The following is a 21,484-nucleotide window of genomic DNA, read 5'->3' on the forward strand; positions in this document are numbered from 1 at the left end:
TTTGAAATGAAATATCTAACTAATGGCAGGTCTTCTAGCCCCTTTAGCTCAACCAAAACTAGCTGGAAGGTCTTTGGATTGACACTTACTAGCTACACGAATCTAGGCAAGTTCTAACCTCAGTTTCCTCATGTGTAAAACAGAGATAGTAACGTTCTGAAGATGAAGTAAGATGGTGCCAATGAACAGACTCAGCACGATGCCCAGTGCCTGTGTTCCACCCGGGCTAGTTCCCAAGTTTCTACTTGATCTCTCAGCTAGAGTTTTTACTCTATCACCTCAAGGCGCCTGGTGCCTGAGCTAAAATATTGAGAATAGCTGCTGCTTGTTGAGCCTTTACTCTGTGCCAAACACTATGTGCTATCAATTCAATCCTCACAACAACCCTATGTGATATGTCCAATTATTAATCCCATTTTAGAGAAAAGAAAACGGAGACACTGAATGGTCAGGAAATCTGCCCAGTGGATCACTTGAGGCCAGGAGTTCAAGACCAGCCTGGCCAACATGGTGAAACCCTATCTCTACTAAAAATACAAAAATTAGCCGGGCATGGTGGTGCACACCTGTACTCTCAGCTACTCTGGAGGCTGAGGCAGGAGAATCGCTTGAACCCGGGAGGCGGAGGTTGCAGTGAGCTGAGATTGCACCACTGCACTCCAGCCTGGGCAACAGAGCGAGACTCTATCTCGAAAACAAAAAACAAAAAAAAAACCTGCCCAGGTTCTCACAGGTAGAGCAGGGATTAGAGCCTGGCTGATACCAGAGCAATAACCGCTGCACCATATTGTCTTATTTTAATGACCCATCAATGGTTAGAATTATGGAGGTAGGAGGTGATAGGCATCAAACTCTTTATTTCACAGATGAGGAACTGAAAGCTTAGACAGGTCAAGCTGCTTGCCAGGGGCTGGCTAGGTCTGAGCCAAAACTAGAACCCTGGGTATTCTTTTCCTCTACCCATGATTATATGTTGAGCTAAATAGTAAATATTACCAGTTAAAACTATGGAGAAACATGAATAACAATTTATGGTGATCGCATTTTGAGGGAAAGGTATCCATGCATAGAAAACAGAATGTGCTCTACAGAAATGTGAACAGTTCATTTTGGAATGGTGAGATTATGAGTGATTAAAAATGTCTTCGTTGTTTTGCTGCTCTGTTGTTTTTCTTAATTTTTCTACAATGAACATACACGACCTAATTAAGAAATAATTTTTCAAGGGCGTTAAAACTCTGGGATTCAACTAACACATATAGCGTACTGCTAGGTGCCAAGAACCGTGGTGGAAATTTTCACATGCTTGTGCCATTTACTCACACCACCCTTTCAGCCTGTTCCATTCATACAGCTTTCTCTCCTGCCCCCTGGTGTTGACTAATGCCATAGAAGTCACTCTCCCTTTCAGCTCCTTCAAATGGAAGATTCAGGGAGACCATGCTTTCTCCTAAAAGGACTCAACACTCACTCAATAAACCTCTAAATTGGATGATCCAGGCTTTTCACTTCTGTCTCCTTCCCAGCTTTTGCTCCCCTTCATTATTGGATGAGAGAAACTAGGATGGAATCAGTGTTCTTAGTTGTAGGTTGCACCAATGAAGACAGAGTAGAAAGGAATCGTGGGGAGTTGTACTATTATTCGTAGGATTTCTCCCACTGTGGTTTGGCAGCATCTAAACATTGCTTGGTCCTACCCATCTTAACAATCAATCTATCAGCAGGAAATTATTGAGCTATGCAGTAGTTCCAGCTCCATGCCAGGGGTTACAAAGTCTGAGCAGTCATAATCCTTTGACCTTGAGGAGGTTACAATCATTATTACAGAAAAACAAATTCATAGAATACCCAGCAGACATTTTAAGAAGCTACTAAGCAAGGAGCTGATAATTGTGGGGCTTACACAAGTGGGTCTCTTACAGCATTCACTCAACACGTTGCCTGAGAGCTGCCTTTGGAAAAACACCCTGGGGGGTTGCCAAGTTGCCAACTCATTTTCTGCAAGCTTGTCTTTTTTCAGTGCCTAATCAAGAAAGTACTTGAGAATTCAGCCTCATAGTTATTAATATAAAAATGTCAGTACTTTAACCACAGTTAGTGGTAACTGAGAGAAACCTCGTAAGTGATCTTGAAGATCACTTACGGAGTTTCAGTGAAAGAGTCAGGGAAGTTGCGAACTGGTTTTTTTTTTTTTTAATTATTATTAAAAGGAGCAGGTTTTGCATTTTGGAGAACAAAAAAGGTGCCAATTCATTTGTCTCAGTTAATAGTAAGCGCTCTTGTACACTATTTTCTTCTTCCTTCTTTAGCTACATTCAACAGGAACTCCAATATTAAGTAAAAGGATACAACCTGAAAAACATATACTGCTTACTTTGGGCTCGGCACTGTTTTAAGCACTTAGAAATATTAACTCATGTAATCTTTATAAGAATCCGGTGAGGTAGAAACCCATTTCACAGATGAGGAACGTGAAGACATCGAAGGTGCCAATTGTCCAAGATCACACAGCTAGTAGGTGACAGGATCAGGTTTCAAGCCCCTCTAGAATCCACGCTCCTAGTATGTGAGTTGCTCTGAAAAAGACAAGCACCACACTGGTAGCTACCAAGACCAAAAAGCAGCTCCGAAGGCCAAAGAGATCCCGAAAGGAGAAGGCTCGCTGTGGAATATCTGTGGAAGCTTCAAGGAGGTAGCGGGAATTGGGAAGGCCAGGAAAATGGGAAGAACTTAAATATGATGTGCTATCATCTTTAGGGCATTTAGATGACTAGAATACAACTTTGTGGCTCAGCAAATAAGAGAGCAAATAAGATCACCATTGAAACGGTGCCAGCCACCCACCGTTCCACTCAAAGGGCATATTCCCAGAGGCAAGTGGGGAAGTGAAAGGACTAACAAATCTGCTTGTTGCCAAGTAGACTATGCTACCAGCCATTCCGTTTGCACTAAAGGGATTTTCAAGTATAATTTTCACTACTGGAAATTTTTTAGTTTTTACCTCAAACCCCATTTGTAAAATAGTCCAGTAAGAGCAGACAATGGTCTAGGTGTGGTGGAAAAGCATAAGTGTTAGCAAAATAAGGGGTTAAAGAAAGTGCAGGCCTGGGTGAGGTGGCTCACACCTGTAATCCCAGCACTTGGGAGGCCAACGTGGGTGGATCATTTGAGGTCAGCAGTTCAAGACCAGCCTGGCCAACATAGTCAAACCCCTTCTCTACTAAAAAATAAAAAAATTAGCTGGGAGTGGTGCTGGGCACCTGTAATCCCAGCTACTCGGGAGGCTGAGGCATGAGAATCACTTGAACCCAGGAGGCGGAGGTTGCAGTGAACCGAGATCGCGCCACTGCACTCCAGCCTGGGTGACAGAGTGAGACTCCCTCTCAAAAAAAAAAAAAAAGAAAAGAAAAGAAAGTGCAGGATGCCGCCTGAAACATGTAGGTATCTCAGGTGAGGTGAGGAAAAGGAGAGGGGAGGGCGGATGAAAAAAAAGAATGATATAACTGTATCAGGTTGACTTAGTGGCAAATGGATCATGTGAATATTACACACATTTGCTACACATGCTTCAGGACTTTAGAGAAAGGAGAAGCCTCTGGGGGTCAGGATGGCCAAAGAGGACCAGGACTTATTGAGTAACTACAAGGAGAAGAATTTGGCTAAAGGTGAGGATTCTGGCTGGGGAGCATGAGGAGGAGAGGTCAAAGGAGAGAGGTTTTTTTTTCTAGGCAGACTCTCACCTGTTGCCTAGTCTGGAGTACAGCAGCACTATCTCAAACCTCCGCCTCCCAGATTCAAGTGATTCTCCTGCCTCAGCTTCCCAAGTAGCTGAGATGACAGGCATGCGCCATGACGCCCGGCTAATTTTTGTATTTTTAGTAGAGACGGGGTTTCACCGTGTTGGCCAGACTGGTCTCCAACTCCTGGCCTCAAGTGATCTGTCCACATTGGCCTCCCAAAGTGCTAGGATTATATAGGCTTGAGCCACTGTGCCAGGCCAAGAGAGAGAATCTTAAGTGTAAAAATTTTTTTAAATCTGCTGGATTATCATGAACAAAATTAGAGATCTAAGTACTACAAAATGAAATAAGCAGAGAATAAAATAACAATCTGACTGTGGGGGAGGTACCATCCTTTTGTGTCGATAGTTCCATCAAGTTGCTGCAGTTTCTCTGTATTCATCGGAAGATTAGGGTGAATAAACAAGTAAGTTAGAAATAATCCATGCAGACATTATTAAAACACCTACTGAAGGGCATTTTAAAAGGCTTTAATGTGAGTGTATGGAAGATGGGAAAGAGATGACTTGTTCAGGGGGAGAATTAGAAACTAGCCAAAATGTACGGAAATTCATAGGAAACTTCAACATCAGAAAAATCAAAATAAGAAGAAAAAGTATTTTTGAAAAGAAAAATGAGATACTAGCCCAGTCAGCTTAAATTTGTTATAAAGTTAAAGTTTAAAAAATAAACTGGAATTGGTGTGTGTGTAAAGAAACAGATCAGTGAGATGAAAGAGTTCATAAAATAGACTACTTACATATCAGAATTTCATATATATGATACAGTGGGTAATTCTCATAAGAGGCGCTGAAGAACGGCTTATTCAATAAAAGGGCAGCTGGCTAGACATATAGGGTGGGGTGGGAGGATTGGGAGGATGTATGGAAGAAATTATTTTATTCACACCTCTGTGGAGGGGGACTACTGTGCTTTGATGGCACAGCAACATGTATGAATAAAGCACCTCAAGAGGGAATTCTGCAAAAGGATGGCTGGCCTGGTTCAACTGTCCTGCACGCTGTAATTTGGGTGACTTAGAGAGTTTTCTTTTCTTTTTTTTTTAGACAGAGTCTCGCTCTGTCGCCCAGGCTGGAGTGCAGTGACGCGATCTCGGCTCACTGCAAGATCCGCCTCCTGGGTTCATGCCATTCTCCTGCCTCAGCCTCCCGAGTAGCTGGGACTACAGGTGCCCGCCACCACGCCTGGCTAATTTTTTTGTATTTTTAGTAGAGGCAGGGTTTCACCATGTTAGCCAGGATGGTCTCCATCTCCTGACCTGGTGATCCGCCCGCCTCGGCCTCCCAAAGTGCTGGGATTACAGGCGTGAGCCACCACGCCTAGCCGAGAGTTTTCTTTTTAACTAACTTAGGACTTACGGGATAGAGAAAAGTACTGGGGCAATTACTCAGTGAGAAAAAACTCACTGAGACAATGTATTAAATATACTCTTTTTTTTTTTTTTTTTGGAGACGGAGTCTCACTCTGTCTCCCAGGCTGGAGTGCAGTGATGTGATCTCGGCTCACTAGAACCTCCGCCTCCTGGGTTCAAGCGATTCTCGTGCCTCAGCTTCCAGAGTAGCTAGGATTACAGGTGTGTGCAACCACACCCAGCTAATTTTTGTATTTTTAGAGGAGATGGGGTTTTACCACGTTAGCCAGGCTGATCTCAAACTCCTGACCTCAAGTGATCTGCCTGCCTTGTCCTCCCAAAGTGCTGGGATTACAGGTGTGAGCCACCACGCCCAGCCTAATGTATACTCTTAAGTACACATTCTTTCCTATCTCAAGTTCCTCCTTTCTAAGAAGCAGGAGAAAACTCTTCATGGGTACAGCTGATGGGATGTGTCAGCACTGGGTGGGCCTGGATGCTTTGTGTGTGTTCTCATTGCTCTATCTGGGCAGGGATGTGCACCTCTAGTTTTTTTTTTTACTAAATCTTTATATCCTGACTTTGCAATCTGTATTTTTACTTGAAAATCCAATAGCCTATGAGATGCAGAGGCTCTCTGCCTACCTAGGCCACTATTTACTCACCAGATTCATATTGTCCTGAATAGTCTATTTTTTAGCTCTGTATCTGGTTTCTGGACTCAGCTGTGAACTTAGCTATTGGAGGGGTTTTGAAGACCCTTTGGCAGAGGAGTCCAGACTGAAAACAAGTCCCCTATTTGTAAGGTACCATAACACTTTCTTTCTCATATGACAAAATTAAACCTCTCCTCCTCTACGAGTCCACTCCCCTCACTCACACACACACACACACAAACATATCACATCAACTTTTTCCTAACTCTGGACATAACTGTTAATAACTACTCGCTCCACAAGATGTTCAGAACTCTTTGTTCCTTTCTTTTAAGCCAGAATGCTGTATTTTCTCCTTTAACCATGAGGAGAAAAAGCAGATCTGGTCGAAGTCAGAGCTTTGTGTCTATCAGAGAACTGTTTCTGTTTAGCTGCTAAATGGCTGGTAAGTGGTTGAAAGTTCCAACTGGGGAAAGTTGGAGAGGATTAACAATTTTCCAGATCCTACTGAGTCAACTATTTTTACTAGGGCTTTAATATTTTGTCTGAAGTGTAGTAAATTCTCTAGAATGTTAGCCACAGTTTTAAAAACACATTTTTTAAGGTCAGGGGTACATGTGCAGGTTTATTATATAGGTAAACTCATGTCACAGGGAGTTGTCATACAGATTATTTCATCACCCAGGTATTAAGCCTAGTACCCATTAGTTATTTTTCCTGATCCTCTCCCTCCTCCCACCCTCCACCCTCTGGTAGGCCCCAGTGTCTATTGTTTCCCTCTATGTGTCCATGAAAAACACATTTTAAAGCCAACTTTCTCCAGGTCTTATTGCTGTCTATTAGCAAGGTATTAATTTTTTAAATGAACAACTATTAAACTCTTAAGTCACTTAGTAAAACTGGCAATTATTTGAGAGCCACTGATAAGAAGACAAAAAACTTCAAAATGCTGTTACTTCCCCTGTCAAAAAAAAAAAAAAAAACTTCCAATAATCAAAAGTGATGATGTTGAGCAAAAAAGCATTAGGTCTTGCTTTCCTATATACATTGTTGAGTTTTCTTTGTTACAGAAATTTGGAGCTCAAACCACTGGTGATTAAAATAAATTTTTCTTTCTGAAGAAAGAAGAAAGAAAATTAATGTTAAGAACAAACTATGAATCTACCACTGCTCAGTCCTTTTACATATTTTATGATATAATCACTGCTACAATATGACTACAATCTAATGGTTTTTTTTTTTAAGTTAAATGCTATTAAATTAAAAAGAAGACGGGCCAGGTGCGGTGGCTCATGCCTGTAATCCCAGCACTTTGGAAGTCGGAGGCGGGTGGATCACCTGAGGTCAGGAGTTCGAGACCAGCACGGCCAACATGGTGAAACCCCGTCTCTACTAAAAACACAAAAATTAGCTGGGCATGGTGGCAGGTGCCTGTAATCCCAGCTACTCAGGAGGCTAAGACAGGAGAATTGCTTGAACCCAGAAGGTGGAGGTTGCAGTGAGCCGTGATCATGCCATCACACTCCAGCCTGGGGGACAAGAGCGGGACTTCATATCAAAAAAAAAAAAAAAAGAAGATGAAGAAGAACAGAGGACTATTGCTTAAAACAGGGCAAAAGATGATTAGGTATCACTTTATCTTATCTTGCTTCTACTCTGTCCCACCCCCAAATTCAAAGTTTTAATGCTATTTACAAAATTTAGTCTTCTTCATAGTTGATACTGGAAGAAGTTATTATTTCGCAAACTACAAACAGAAATGCAAGATCCAATTGGTCAAAATCACAGTGGCAACACATGAGCAATAACATTTACACGTGATTACCTCTTTCAACTTTACAATTGCCTTCATAGCCTTTATTTAATCTTCATTAAAACTCTGTGAAGCCACTCCTCTGATTTCATCTTACAAAAGGGGAAACTGAGACCTGATAAGGCTGAATGACTATAGAAGGTTCACAATTATTAAGTAATTGGGTCAGGCTTCCAAGCCAGGACCTAACCTCATGTGTATACCTTATCTGAGTAGTTAGCTGCTTCATTCATAGATATTAAAGTAGGATCTAAGCATGAACATCTTGTTGGACACTTCTGTCTTCTTCACCTCCATATTTAATCAATCACCAAGTCCTACCTGCTTTGACCTTCTTACTACTTCCGAAAATCGATGTCTCCTTCTCCACTCCCTTGTCACTCATCATCCCTCACTTGAATTGTAATAGCCTTCGAACCAGCTTTTCCCAGTCTATCTTGTGTCACTCAGGTGCATGTTTCTCACAACCAACAAAGTGTCTAAAATGTAGTTCTGACCACAGAATCTTACTATGGCTGCCCATAATCTCAATCTACTAAAAATAAACAACTGAAACAAACTGCTGACATTCATAGTCCTCCAGAATCTCTGCCTGTCTCACCGACTTCATTTTCATTTGTCATTCCCTATCCCTACTTGTACTCACAAGGTGCCCATCCCACCTGGAGCATCCTCTCTCCATTCGCCTTTGCTTGACTAATGCCCAGTCCTTCTTTGAGGCTCAGCTCAGATGTCACCTGCCCAGATGGCTTTCATGCCCTCCCTCCACCAACTCAGGGACTTTCCTCTGTCTTTTCCATAAGACCTTGTGACTATTTTTATCATTTCATTTACCATCTACTTTTATAAAAATCTGATTTGTGTTTATCTCCTCCATTCGACTGTAAGCTCCCTGAGGGTAAGGGCAATGTCTTATTCATCTGTGTTTCTCCAACACTGGGCACAATACCCAGCACAAACAACACATGCCTGTTAGGTAAATTGTATATATTAGTTATGAAAAATACTTGCTGGTTTCAGAATCCTGCACAGAAATTGAGAAGATGATGTTGAAACGATGTGAAATGATGTGATGTGAAATGAATGTGGTGAATCAGCAGGTGACAAGACCATGAACTGTCAAAAGATGCTTTCAGAAACAGTCTAAAGAGGAGTATTGACAAAAACTCTAAATAAGGAGAGTGTACTATTAAGTTGGCAGTCGGGGGAAATGTTATTTCAAAAGTACCACAGAGCAGTGCCAACCAAACCACCCAATGCCCCAGACTCAGGAACCTCAGCAAAAGCACAAGTTGTCCTAGGACATGACAGATTTGTTTTCAGATCATAAGTCAAACACCAGGACCAGGACTGATGGAGACTTGGGTTTTTTTAAGGGATAACTCATCAGGAATTCTTTTAATATATAAACCCATTTGTCATCCTTTGAGTCTTCTTTGCTACTTCTGGCTATTTTCCCACTTCCCCTTTTCCTTGTGGGCCTTCAAATACCTCTTCCTCCCCTGTTTTCCAATGTCTCCTTGCTTTCTGCCTCTCATGTTATTGCTTGTGGAAGATCACCACTGACATTAAAATTTCCTGGAAAATTCCACTGGCTAATGTACACTTCTAATTGTGGAAAGTACATGGGTCACCTAAGTCCCTCCCTTAATGTGCTATGTTCTCCTGTTTGTTTCCACTGTTCCATCTCCCTGGAAGTCCTTCACCTGGCCAAACCATATCCATCCTTCAAGGTCTGGCTCAAATGTCCAATGTTAAACTTCCCCCAACCCTAAGACAGAGAGAGAATGCCCTGCTCTTTTATCTGTACTCCAGAGATGAATTTGCTTAGACAGCTAGAATAGCTTTTGTAGCACTCCGTGTTTTTACTTGTTTATGCAACAATCTCCCCTATGAGACTATGCCCCACTGAGGACAGGCACCAAATATCATCCATCTCTGTATCCCTTACCCTTATCAATGCCTAGAAAATCGTAGACACTCAAAAATACTTCTTGATTCCCAGGCAAACTGGCCGAATAGGAACAGCTCCAATCTGCAGCTACCAGCGAGACCTGCAGCCACCACAAGGAGGCAGGTGATTTCTGGATTTCCAGCTGAGGTACCTGGCTCATCTCACTGGGACTGGTTAGACAGTGGGTGCAGCCCATGGAGGGCAAGCAGAAGCAGGGTGGGGCGCTGCCTCACCCGGGAAGTGCAAGGGGTCAGGGAACTCCCTCCCATAGCCAAGGGAAGCCTTGAGGGACTGTGCTGTGAGGGACAAAGCTATCTGGCCCAGATACTACACTTTTCCCGCTGTCTTCACAACCCACAGACCAGGAGATTCCCTCGGGTGCCTACACCAACAGGACCCTGGGTTTGAAGCACAAAGCTGGGTGACCGTTTGGGCAGACACCAACTTAGCTGCAGGAGTTTTTTTTTTTCATAGCCCAGTGGCACCTGGAATGCCAGCAAGACAGAACCACTCACTCCCCTGGAAAGGGGGCTGAAGCCAGGGAGCCAAGTGGTCTAGCTCAGCGGATCCCCTCCCCACCCCTCTCCCCACCCCATGGAGCCCAGCAAGCTAAGATCCACTGGCTTGAGATTCTTGCTGCCAGCACAGCAGTCTGAAGTCGACCTGGGATGCTCAAGCTTGGTGCGGGGAGGGGTGTCTGTCATTACTAAGGCTTGAGTAGGAGGTTTTCCCCTCACAGTGTAAACAAAGCTACTGGGAAGTTCAAACTGGGTGGAGCCCACCACAGTGCTGCAAAGCCACTGTAGCCAGACTGCCTCTCTAGATTCCTTCTCTCTGGTCAGGGCATCTCTGAAAGAAAGCCAGCAGCCCCAGTCAGGGGCTTATAGATAAAACCCCCATCTCCCTGGGACAGAGCACCTGGGGGAAGGGGCGGCTGTGGGTGCAGCTTCAGCAGACTTAAATGTTCCTCCATGCTGGCTCTGAAGAGAGCATCAAATCTCCCAGCACAGTGCTTGAGCTCTGCTAAGGGACAGACTGCCTCCTCAAGTGGGTCCCTGACCCCCATGCCTCCTGACTGGGAGACACCTCCCAGAGGAGTCGACAGACAACTCATAGAGGAGAGCTCTGGCTGGCATCTGGCAGATGCCTCTCTGGGACGAAGCTTCCAGAAGAAGGAACAGGCAGCAATCTTTGCTGTTCTGCAGCCTCCACTGCTGACACCCAGTCAAATAGGGTCTGGAGTGGACCTCCAGCAAACTCGAGCAGACCTGCAGCAGAAGGGCTTGACCGTTAGAAGGAAAACTAACAAACAGAAAAGAATAGCATCAACATCAACAAAAAGAATGTCCACACAAAAACCCCATCTGATAATCACCAAAATCAAAGACAAAGGTAGACAAATTCACGAAAATAAGGAAAAACCAGTGCAAAAGGGCTGAAAATTCCAAAAATCAGAACACCTCTTCTCCTCCAATGGATCACACCTCCTCACCAGCAAGAGAACAAAACTGGATGGAGAATGAGTTTGATGAATTGACAGAAGTAGACTTCAGAAAGTGGGTAATAACAAACTCCTCCGAGCTAAAGGAGCGTGTTCTAACCCAATGCAAGGAAGCTAAGAACCTTGATAAAAGGTTACAGGAACTACTAATTAGAATAACCAGTTTAGAGAAAAACATAAATGATGGAGCTGAAAAACACAGCATGAGAACTTCGTGAAGCATACACAATTATCAATAGCCAAATTGGCCAAGTGGAAGAAAGGATATCAGAGATTGAAGATCAACTTAATGAAATAAAGCGTGAAGACAAGATTAGAGAAAAAAGAATGAAAAGGAATGAACAAAGCCTCCAAGAAATATGGGACTATGTGAAAAGACTGAGCCTACATTTTATTGGTATACCTGAAAGTGACAAGGAGAATGGAACCAAGTTGGAAAACACTCTTCAGGTTATTATCCAGGAAAACTTCCCCAACCTAGCAAGACAGGCCAACATTCAAATTCAGGAAATACAGAGAACACCACAAAGATACTCCTTGAGAAGAGCAACCCCAAGACACATAATCATCAGATTCACCAAGGTTGAAATGAAGGAAAAAATATTAAGGGCAGCTAGAGAGAAAGGTCGGGTTACCCACAAGGGGAAGCCCATCAGACTAACAGTGGATATCTCTGCAGAAACCTATAAGTCAGAAAAGAGTGTGGGCCAACATTCAATATTAAAAAAAAAAAAGAATTTTCAACCCAGAATTTCATATCCAGCCAAACTAAGCTTCACAAGCAAAGGAGAAATAAAACCCTTTACAGACAAGAAAGCAAATGCTGAGGGATTTTATCACCACCAGGCCTGCCTTACAAGAGCTCCTGAAGGAAAAACTAAATATGGAAAGGAAAAACCAGTACCAGCCACTGCAAAAACATACCAAAATGTAAAGACGATTGATACTATAAAGAAACTGCATCAACTAATGGGCAAAATAACCAGCTAGCATCATCATGACAGGATCAAAGTCACACATAACAATATTAATCTTAAATGTGAACGGGCTAAATGCCACAATTAAAAGACAGAGACTGGCAAATTGAATAAAGCACACCATCAGTGTGCTGTATTCAGGAGACCCATCTCTCATGCAAAGACATGCATAGGCTCAAAATAAAGGGATGCAGGAAGATTTACCCAGCAAATGGAAAGCAAAAAAAAAAACCAGGGATTGCAATCCTAGTCTCTAATAAAACAGACTTTAAACCAACCAACAAAGATCATAAAAGACAAAGAAGAGCATTACATAATGCTAAAGGGATCAGTGCAACAAGAAGAGCTAACTATTTAAATATATATGCACCCAATACAGGAGCACCCAGATTCATAAAGCAAGTTCTTAGAGACCTACAAAGAGACTTAGACTCCTGCACAATAATAGTGGGAGACTTTAACACCCCACTGTCAATATTAGACAGATCAATGAGACAGAAAATTAATAAGGATATTCAGGACTTGAACTCATCTCAGGACCAAGTGGACCTAATAGACATCTACAGAACTCTCCACCCCAAATCAACAGAATATACATTTTTCTCAGCACCACACTGCACTTACTCTAAAATGGACCACATAATTGGAAGTAAAACACTCCTCAGCAAATGCAAAAGAATGGAAATCATAACAGTCTCATAGACCACGGTGCAATCAAATTAGAACCCAGGATTAAGAAACTCACTCAAAACCACAAAACTACATGGAAATTGAACAACCTGCTCCTGAATGACTACTGGGTAAATAATGAAATTAAGGCAGAAATAAATAAGTTCTTTGAAACCAGTGAGAACAAAGACACAACGTACCAGAATCTCAGGCACAGCTAAAGCAGTGGTGTTTAGAGGGAAATTTATAGCACTAAATGCGCACAAGAGAAAGCAGGAAAGTTCTAAAATCAACGCCCTAACATCACAATTAAATGAACTAGAGAAGCAAGAGCAAGCAAATTCAAAAGCTAGCAGAAGACAAGAAATAACTAAGATCAGAGCAGAACTGAAGGAGATAAAGACACGAAAAACCCTTCAAAAAATCAATGAATCCTGGAAATGCTTTTTTTGAAAAGATTAACAAAATAGACTGCTAGCCAGACTAATAAAGAAGAAAAGAGAGAATAATCAAATGGACATGATAAAAAATGATAAAGGGGATATCACCACCGATCCCCCAGAAATACAAACTACCATCAGAGACTACTATAAACACCTCTATGCAAATAAACTAGAAAATCTAGAAGAAATGGACAAATTTCTGGACACATACACCCTCCCAATACTAAACCAGGAAGAAGTCGTACCTCTGAATAAACCAATAACAAGTTCTGAAATTGAGGCAGTACTTAATAGTCTACCAACCCAAAAAATCCCAGGACCAGATAGATTCACAGCCAAATTCTACCAAAGGTACAAAGAGGTGCTAGTACCATGCCTTCTGAAACTCTTCCAAGCAATAGAAAAAGAGGGACTCCTCCCTTACTCTTTTTATGAGGCCAACATCATCCTAATACCAAAACCTGGCAGAGACACAACAAAAAAAAGAAAATTTCAGTCCAATAATCCCTGAGGAACATCGATGTGAAAATCCTCAATAAAATACTGGCAAACAGAATCCAGCAGCACATCAAAAAGCTTATCCACCACAATCAAGTTGGCTTCATCCCTGGAATGCAGGGCTAGTTCAACTTACACAAGTCAATGAACGTAAGCCATCACTTAAAAAGAACCGATGACAAAAACCACACAATTTTCTCAATACATATCGAAAAGGCCTTCGATAAAATTCAACACCCCACTCATGCTAAAAACTCTCAATAAACTAGGTGTTGATGGAATGTTTCTCTTAATAAGAGCTATTTATGACAAAGCCACAGCTAATATCATGCTGAATGGGCAAAAGCTGGAAGCATTCCCTTTTAAAACTGATACAAGACAAGGATGCCCTCTCTCACTACTCCTATTCAACATATTATTGGAAATTTTGGCCAGGGCAGTCAGGCAAGAGAAAGAACGGGCATTTAAATAGGAAGAGAGGAAGTCAAATTGTCTCTGTTTGCAGATGACATGATTATATATTTGGAAAACCCCATCATCTCAGCCCAGAATCTCCTTAAGCTGATATGCAACTTCAGCAAAGTCTCAGGATACAAAATCAATGTGCAAAAATCACAAGCATTCCTATACACCAAAAATAGACAAACAGCCAAATCATGAGTGAACTCCCATTCACAACTGCTACAAAGAGAATAAAACACCTAGCAATACAACTTACAAAGGATGTGAAGGACCTCTTCAAGGAGAACTACAAATCACTTCTCAAGGAAAGAAGAGAGGACGCAAAGGGAAAAACATTCCATCCTCATGGATAGGAAGAATCAATATTGTGAAAATGGCCATACTGCCCAAAGTAATTTATAGATTCAATGCTATCCCCATCAAACTACCATTGACTTTCTTCAAAGAATTAGAAAAAACTACTTTACATTTCATGTGGAACCAAAAAGAGCCTGTATAGCCAAGACAATCTAAGCAAAAAGAACAAAGCTGGAGGCATCATGCTACCTGACTTCAAACTATACTACAAGGCTACAGTAACCAAAACAGCTTGGTACTGGTACCAAAACAGATATATAGACCAATGGAACAGAACAGAGGCCTCAGAAATAACTCCACACATCTACAGCCATCTGAGACTTGACAAACCTGACAAAAGCAAGCAATGGGGAAAGGATTCCCTATTTAATAAATGGTGTCAGGAAAACTGGCTGGCCATATGCAAAAAACTAAAACTGGACCCCTTCCTTACATCTTATACAAAAATCAACTAAAGATGGATTAAATATTTAAACATAAGACCTAAAACCTTAGAAGAAAATCTAGGCAATACCATTCAGGACATAGGCATGGGCAAAGACTTCATGACTAAAACACCAAAAGCAATGGCAACAAAAGCCAAAATTGACAAATGGGATCTAATTAAACTAAAGAGCTTCTGCAGAGCAAAAGAAACTACCATCAGAGTGAACAGGCAACCTACAGAATGGGAGAAAAATTTTGCGATCTATCCATCTGACAAAGGGCTAATATCCAGAACCTACAGGGAACTTAAACAAATGTACAAGAAAAAAACAAACAAACCCATCAAAAAGTGGGTGAAAGATATGAACAGACACTTAGAAGACATTTATGCAGCTGACAAACATATGAAAAAAAGCTCATTATCACTGGTCATTAGAGAAATGCAAATCAAAACCACAATGAGATACCATCTCACACCAGTTAGAATGGCAATCATTAAAAAGTCAGGAAACAATAGATGCTGGAGAGGATGTGGAGAAATAGGAACGCTTTTACACTGTTGGTGGGAGTGTGAATTAGTTCAAACATTGTGGAAGACAGTGTTGCGATTCCTCAAGGATCTAGAACTAGAAATACCATTTGACCCAGCAATCCCATTACTGGGTATATACCCAAAGGATTATAAATCATTCTACTATAAAGACACATGCACACTTATGTTTATTGCAGCACTATTCACAACAGCAAAGACTTGGAACCAACTCAAATGTCCATCAATGATAGACTGGATAAAGCAAATGTGGCACATATATACCATGGAATACTATGCAGCCATAAAAAAGAATGAGTTCATGTCCTTTGCAGGGACATGGATAAAGCTGGAAACCATCATTCTCAGCAAACTAACGCAGGAACAGAAAACCAAACACTGCGTGTTCTCACTCATAAGTGGGAGCTGAACAATGAGAATATATGGGCACAGGGAGGTGACCATCACATACTGGGGCCTTCCAGGGGGTGGGGGGCAAGGGGAGGGATAGCATTAGGAGAAATACCTAATGTAGATGACGGGTTGATGGGTGCAGCAAACCACCATGGCACGTGTATACCTATGTGACAAACCTGCACATTCTGCACGTGTATCCCAGAACTTAAATATAATTTTTAAAAAAATTATTGAACTATCTTGCTTTATTTGCTCACTAAGGTGTCAAGTTCACTCCTAAAGTTAGGAAGACTGACTCTAATCAAGGTTTGGTAGCATATAAGGAGAAATTTAAAGATTGGACTATATGAGTATTAGGTATTTAATTACTTAACAAATATTTATTGGTCTTCTACTACGAAGCCCACTGTTCTCAAGGCTGAGGATACTGTGGGAAAAAAAGACCACTGGGTCTTATGTTCTCAGGCTAACAGAGAAACTATGATTAATCCAATAATTATACAATTAATTATGATGCAATTTTCATAAGCATATCAAAAGATAACTAGAGGATGCCATGAGAACATGTGATGACCTAAACTGAGGGATGTTAAGGAAGGCTTCCTCAGTGAGTGAGTGATACGCAGACTAAAAGTAGAAGAAAGCAAGCATCCCTAGGTGAAGGGGGAAGTATGGGGAGACAAAAAGAAGCCGCATATTTGAAGTACATGGCACCTTAGAGAAACTATACAAGGGCCTACTAGAGACTTCCAATTGCCCCTCCAGATGCATTTGCCACACACTTACAACCTATTTTGTGCCTGTATGAACTATATTGATGGCTTTCCCTGCCTTCTAGCTTCTGGTTATTCTGTCAACAAGAGGCCCTGGCAAGAGAGCAGAGGGTAGGAGGAGAATGAAATCAAAGTATTTATTCTCCCAGCTTCCACCCTGACAGGTGGCTATGTTTGGCTTCACTCCTCTACCTATGGCCATGGCTTCTATCTGGCGGTCCTCTCTGTGGAGCTGCTCCATGGGCCCTGCAATGGCTCTCTCCACTTTTCCTACAGACTAAGAGGTAATAACAGCTCCCTGAGCTCTTACCCACAGGGGACTGCACCACCTCTTGTCAGTTTTCTCAGATCCTGTCCACACCCTTGTAATTACCCATTTTGATTATGCTATCTTCCTGCTAGAACGCTGACTGATACAAGGGCAAATAAGAAGCTAGATCATTCAGAAAGTTTTAAACTATTATAAGGGCTTTAGATTTTTGTCCTGAATGCCATGGGAAACCTCTGAAGGGGTTAGGCAGATGAGGTAGGTGATCAAGTTTGCATTTTTTAAATGTACACTCTTTGGGTCATGTCTACACTAAAAGTCCAGACATCACCATTACACAATATATCCATGTAACACAACTGCATTGTATCCCCTAAATCTATAAAAAATTTTAAAATGCAAAAAAAAATCACTCTAAGAGCTTCTGTGTAGAGAAGAGATGGAAGAGGTGTAAGAGGAGAAAGGGAGTCTGGTTATGAGGCAATTAGAGTCACAAAGTTGGCAAATGATGAGCCACAGTGGAAAAATCTGAGGCTGGCTACAGAGGTGTGACACAGAACTAGGAGGGACAAGGGAGCAACAGAAGCCCAGCAAGATCTTCAACATCATGCACATAAGACCACCGGGCTCTCTCCACTCTCTTCTTTGCCTCATGGAGTTTATATTGCCCAGCTGCAGTGACCTCCTCACCAATCGCAGTGACTGCCTCACCAATCACAGTACACCTTGTGCCTGGGGTACACTATCTATCTGGAATGTTCTTCCTCTCACCCAAATCCTACCCATCCTCCAAGACTAGCTCAAAAGATAATAAGTAACCATAGCTAACAATTTCTGACAACTTACTATTTTCCAGATATTATGTTAGCATTAGCTCATATAATTGGCCTACCTATGAAGGAGGTACTGTCACTCACTCCATTTTACTGATGAGGAATTGGGCTCAGAGCTGTTAAGTGCTCATAATCACACCACACTGGGCTTGAACCCAGGCCTGGATACCTTCAAAACCCTGTGTTTGATCCTGACCTAACATTGCCCCTGAAATAGCAATAGTTAACTTTGTTGATGACTTACTAAGTGACAGGTATTAAGCACTCCCTCAAACTGTTTTATTTGATGCTGGTAACAACCCAATGAGATAAGAAACAATTTAAATATCATCTTCAGGGTATGAAACTAAAGCAGAGAAAGTTAGAAACTAGCTCAAATGCCACCTCCTCAACAAAGTTTTGCCAGATTCCCCACACTCTTGAACACGATTCCTCCCTCCTCTGAAATCTGAGGCACTGCAATGCATCTCCAATAGCATCACCACCCTCTGCTTCATATCCTTGCTGCTTAGCCTGTATCATCTTTTTATTAAAAGGGCAATCTAAGTCTGACTCACCGTCAATTACCCCAAGCGCCTGTCCGTAGTTTCCCAACGGCCATTCCCTGACAATTACTTGCTTCAAGTAAGCACTTGCAGTATATTAATGAGTGAACACTGGAATGCCTGCAATGTGCCATCAAGGGACTCAACTAGTGATGAGTCACAGAGTTCCCCTCAGTATTTGCTTAGACCACAGCACTGGGCCCTCCAACCAGGGCAGAGCCAGTTATCTCACAGCCACTAGACTTCTGGATCACATTCAACATTAACCGAGGCACTATGTACACTGCCTGAAGAGCAGAAAAAAGAAATTCAATTTCTATTTATTATAAGTAGCTCATTAGGTAGTAAAATAACCATAGTGGTGGAGAGTTGTAGGTTTTGGAAGCCGTTACACCCAGTCCTGCTCTTCACTGCTCCATAAGCTTGATCCCATTAGTGACTTTACTTACTTGAACTGCAGACTCCTCATCTATAAAATAAAAAACAATAAGAACCACCTGCTTGGGATTGTTAGGAGGATTAAGTGAGACAATACATGAAAAGCATCTATAACTAAGGTGCCTGGCAGTAAATGGTAGTTATAATTAAATATGAAAGTAGTATATTCTGCATACTGCATTTAAGGGGTATCACTGGCAAACAGGAAATCTGAAAGAGAACAAGAGGATTGTTCCATACGCTGTCAAAGGAACTGGAGGAGTTTGGCCTATGACATCTAGGAGAATGTACAAGACGTATCTTAATAGATCTGTAGAATTCGCATGTGGAAGAGAAAGATGAATTCTGTGTGGCTCCTAAGATGAACTAGAACCAGTGGATAAAGTGGTAAAGCCCAAATTTTGATTCACTATAAGGGAAGCCTTTCAAATGACTAGGCTGTCCAGTTGGACTGGAAAACTAGCAGGAGTTTGCTCATTGGACTTGCTCAGGCAAAGCCTGGAAGATACGTCAGAGATACTAAAGGCAGAAATGCTTTATGTGGGAGGTCAGCCTCAATGGCAAGGAAGTTTCATGCTAATGCCAAGATTCTGTTATTCTGTTGTCCAAAAATGCAAATGCACACGGGAAAGTTGAATAATGAAAGATCCAAAGGTTTCATGCACTCGATTATTAATTCTGGAGTGGCACAAATTAATCTATCAGCTGCAATGATTTATTTCCACCCACATCCAGGTAGACTCCTTTTCCTGAATACTTACAAAGATGATTCAGAGCTGTCATCTTGGCATCTCTCCAGACAATAGACTCATAGTTTCCTAAAGTTGGACAGAACCTGTGAGTTTTTTTAAACCAACTTCTGATCAAATGTCTTTGAATAGAAGAATAATCTCACACTCCTTAGCTGGTTAGCAGCGCACAGAGAAAAACAATCCCTACACAGTGGAGATAAACACATAAAGTGATTACTGTGAACATCCAAACTTTAGGCACCAGGACTGCTATCTAGCGAGGGCTATTCTCTGCTTCCAGGATGGCGCCTTGTTACTGCGTCCTTCAGAGGAGCGGAACCCTGTGGCCTCACATGATGGAAGGCAGAAGCAAGTCAATCAAACCCTGCATAAAGCCTCTTTTATGAGGGCCTTAATTGCACTGGTGAAGAAGGAGACCTCATGGCCTAATGACCTCTTAAAGGCCCCACCTCTTAATCCTCACACTTTGGCCATTACGTTTCAACACCCAAAGTTTGGAGGGGACACATTCAAAGCATAGCACTCCCCATGCTTCTAGAAAAAGGATAGGGCATCACCAAAGCAGTTGAGAAGCAAAAATAGGTGCCTTTACTTGTACCTACAGACACAAAAGCAGGGACTGTTTTTACCTGTATTACATTAGGTATGCAGTTGGCTATGTTTTCGTAGATACCATGTCTCTCGTCTAAAGTCTACTTTGACTGATATTGATATATCAGACAAGCTTTTTCAAGATTCATCTTTTCATGGTATATCTTTTTTCATCTTTTTGCTTTTAACCTGTGTCTTTATATTTAAAGTGGGCTATTTGCAGAAGTATACATTTGGGTATGGCTTGGTTTTATTTTAAATCATGTCTGACAAAAATCTTCCTTTTAATTGGAGTGTTTAGATCATTTTTATTAATATAATTACTAGTGTGGTAGGAATTAAATCTGCCATTTGAGATTTGTTTTTTATTTGTTGCATCTGTTATTTATTCCTTTTTTTGTTTGTTTGTTTGAGATGGAGTTTCACTCTGTTGCCTAGGCTAGAGTGGCGTGATCATAGCTCACTGCTGCAACCTTGAACTCCTGGGCTCCAGTGATCCTCCTGCCTGAGCCTCCTAAATCGCTGGGATTACAGACATGAGCCACTGCGTCTAGCATATTTATTCCTTTTCGCATCTTTCCTTGCCTACCTTAAAGTCAATTGAGTATTTTTAAAGAATTTTATCTCAACTAAATGCTTATTTCCCATGCTTTTTGGTGGTTTTTTTTTTTTTTTTTTAGGAATTGCTCTAGGGTTTACATTGTGCTTCTTTCCCTTATTGCAGTACACTTTCAAATAGTATTATGCCAATTTATAGTGTAAAAAATATAATGTTTTAACAGTATATGTATATTTCACTCTCGTATCCTTTATGCTATTGTTGTTGCACATTTTACTTCTAGAAATATTATAAAGCCTATAATGCATTGTTATCTTTTCTTCTGCGGTGTCAAACTTGCTGTTAATCCCATCTAGTAATTTTTAAATTTCAAATATCAAGAAATTCCATTTGGCTCTTTTTTGTATCTTCCATTTCTCTCCTTGCTGCATTCACGTTTTTCTTTAATACTTGAACATAGTTATATTAGTTGTTTTAGCATTCTTGTCTCCTAATTGCATCATCCCTATCATCTCTGAGTCTGTTTCTATTGACTGATTTTTTTCGTGGTTATGAGTCTTATTTTCCTTCTTGGCATGTCTAACATTTTTTTTTTTTTTTTTTTGAGACGGAGTCTGGCTCTGTCGCCCAGGCTGGAGTGCAGTGGCACGATCTCGGCTCACTGAAAGATCCGCCTCCTGGGTTCATGCCATTCTCCTGCCTCAGCCTCCCGAGTAGCTGGGACTACAGGTGCCCGCCGCCACACCCGGCTAATTTTTTGTATTTTTAGTAGAGACGGGGTTTCACCATATTAGCCAGTATGGTCTCGATCTCCTGACCTCATGATCCACTCGCCTCAGCCTCCCAAAGTGTTGGGATTACAGGCGTGAGCC

General features: G+C 41.6%; 1 annotated feature.

Moving 5' to 3' along the window:
• Positions 18,639-19,838: an enhancer, noted in NCBI's record as "CDK7 strongly-dependent group 2 enhancer chr10:93412611-93413810 (GRCh37/hg19 assembly coordinates)". NCBI's record gives its function as "activates an origin of replication core promoter dependent on BRD2, BRD4, P300/CBP, MED14 and CDK7 cofactors, with strong dependence on CDK7, by STARR-seq in HCT116 cells {active_cell/tissue: HCT116}" and the evidence as "EXISTENCE:reporter gene assay evidence [ECO:0000049][PMID:35650434]".

This window comes from Homo sapiens, chromosome 10 (genome assembly GCF_000001405.40).
Source record: "Homo sapiens chromosome 10, GRCh38.p14 Primary Assembly".
In the NCBI taxonomy this organism is placed as follows: domain Eukaryota; kingdom Metazoa; phylum Chordata; class Mammalia; order Primates; family Hominidae; genus Homo; species Homo sapiens.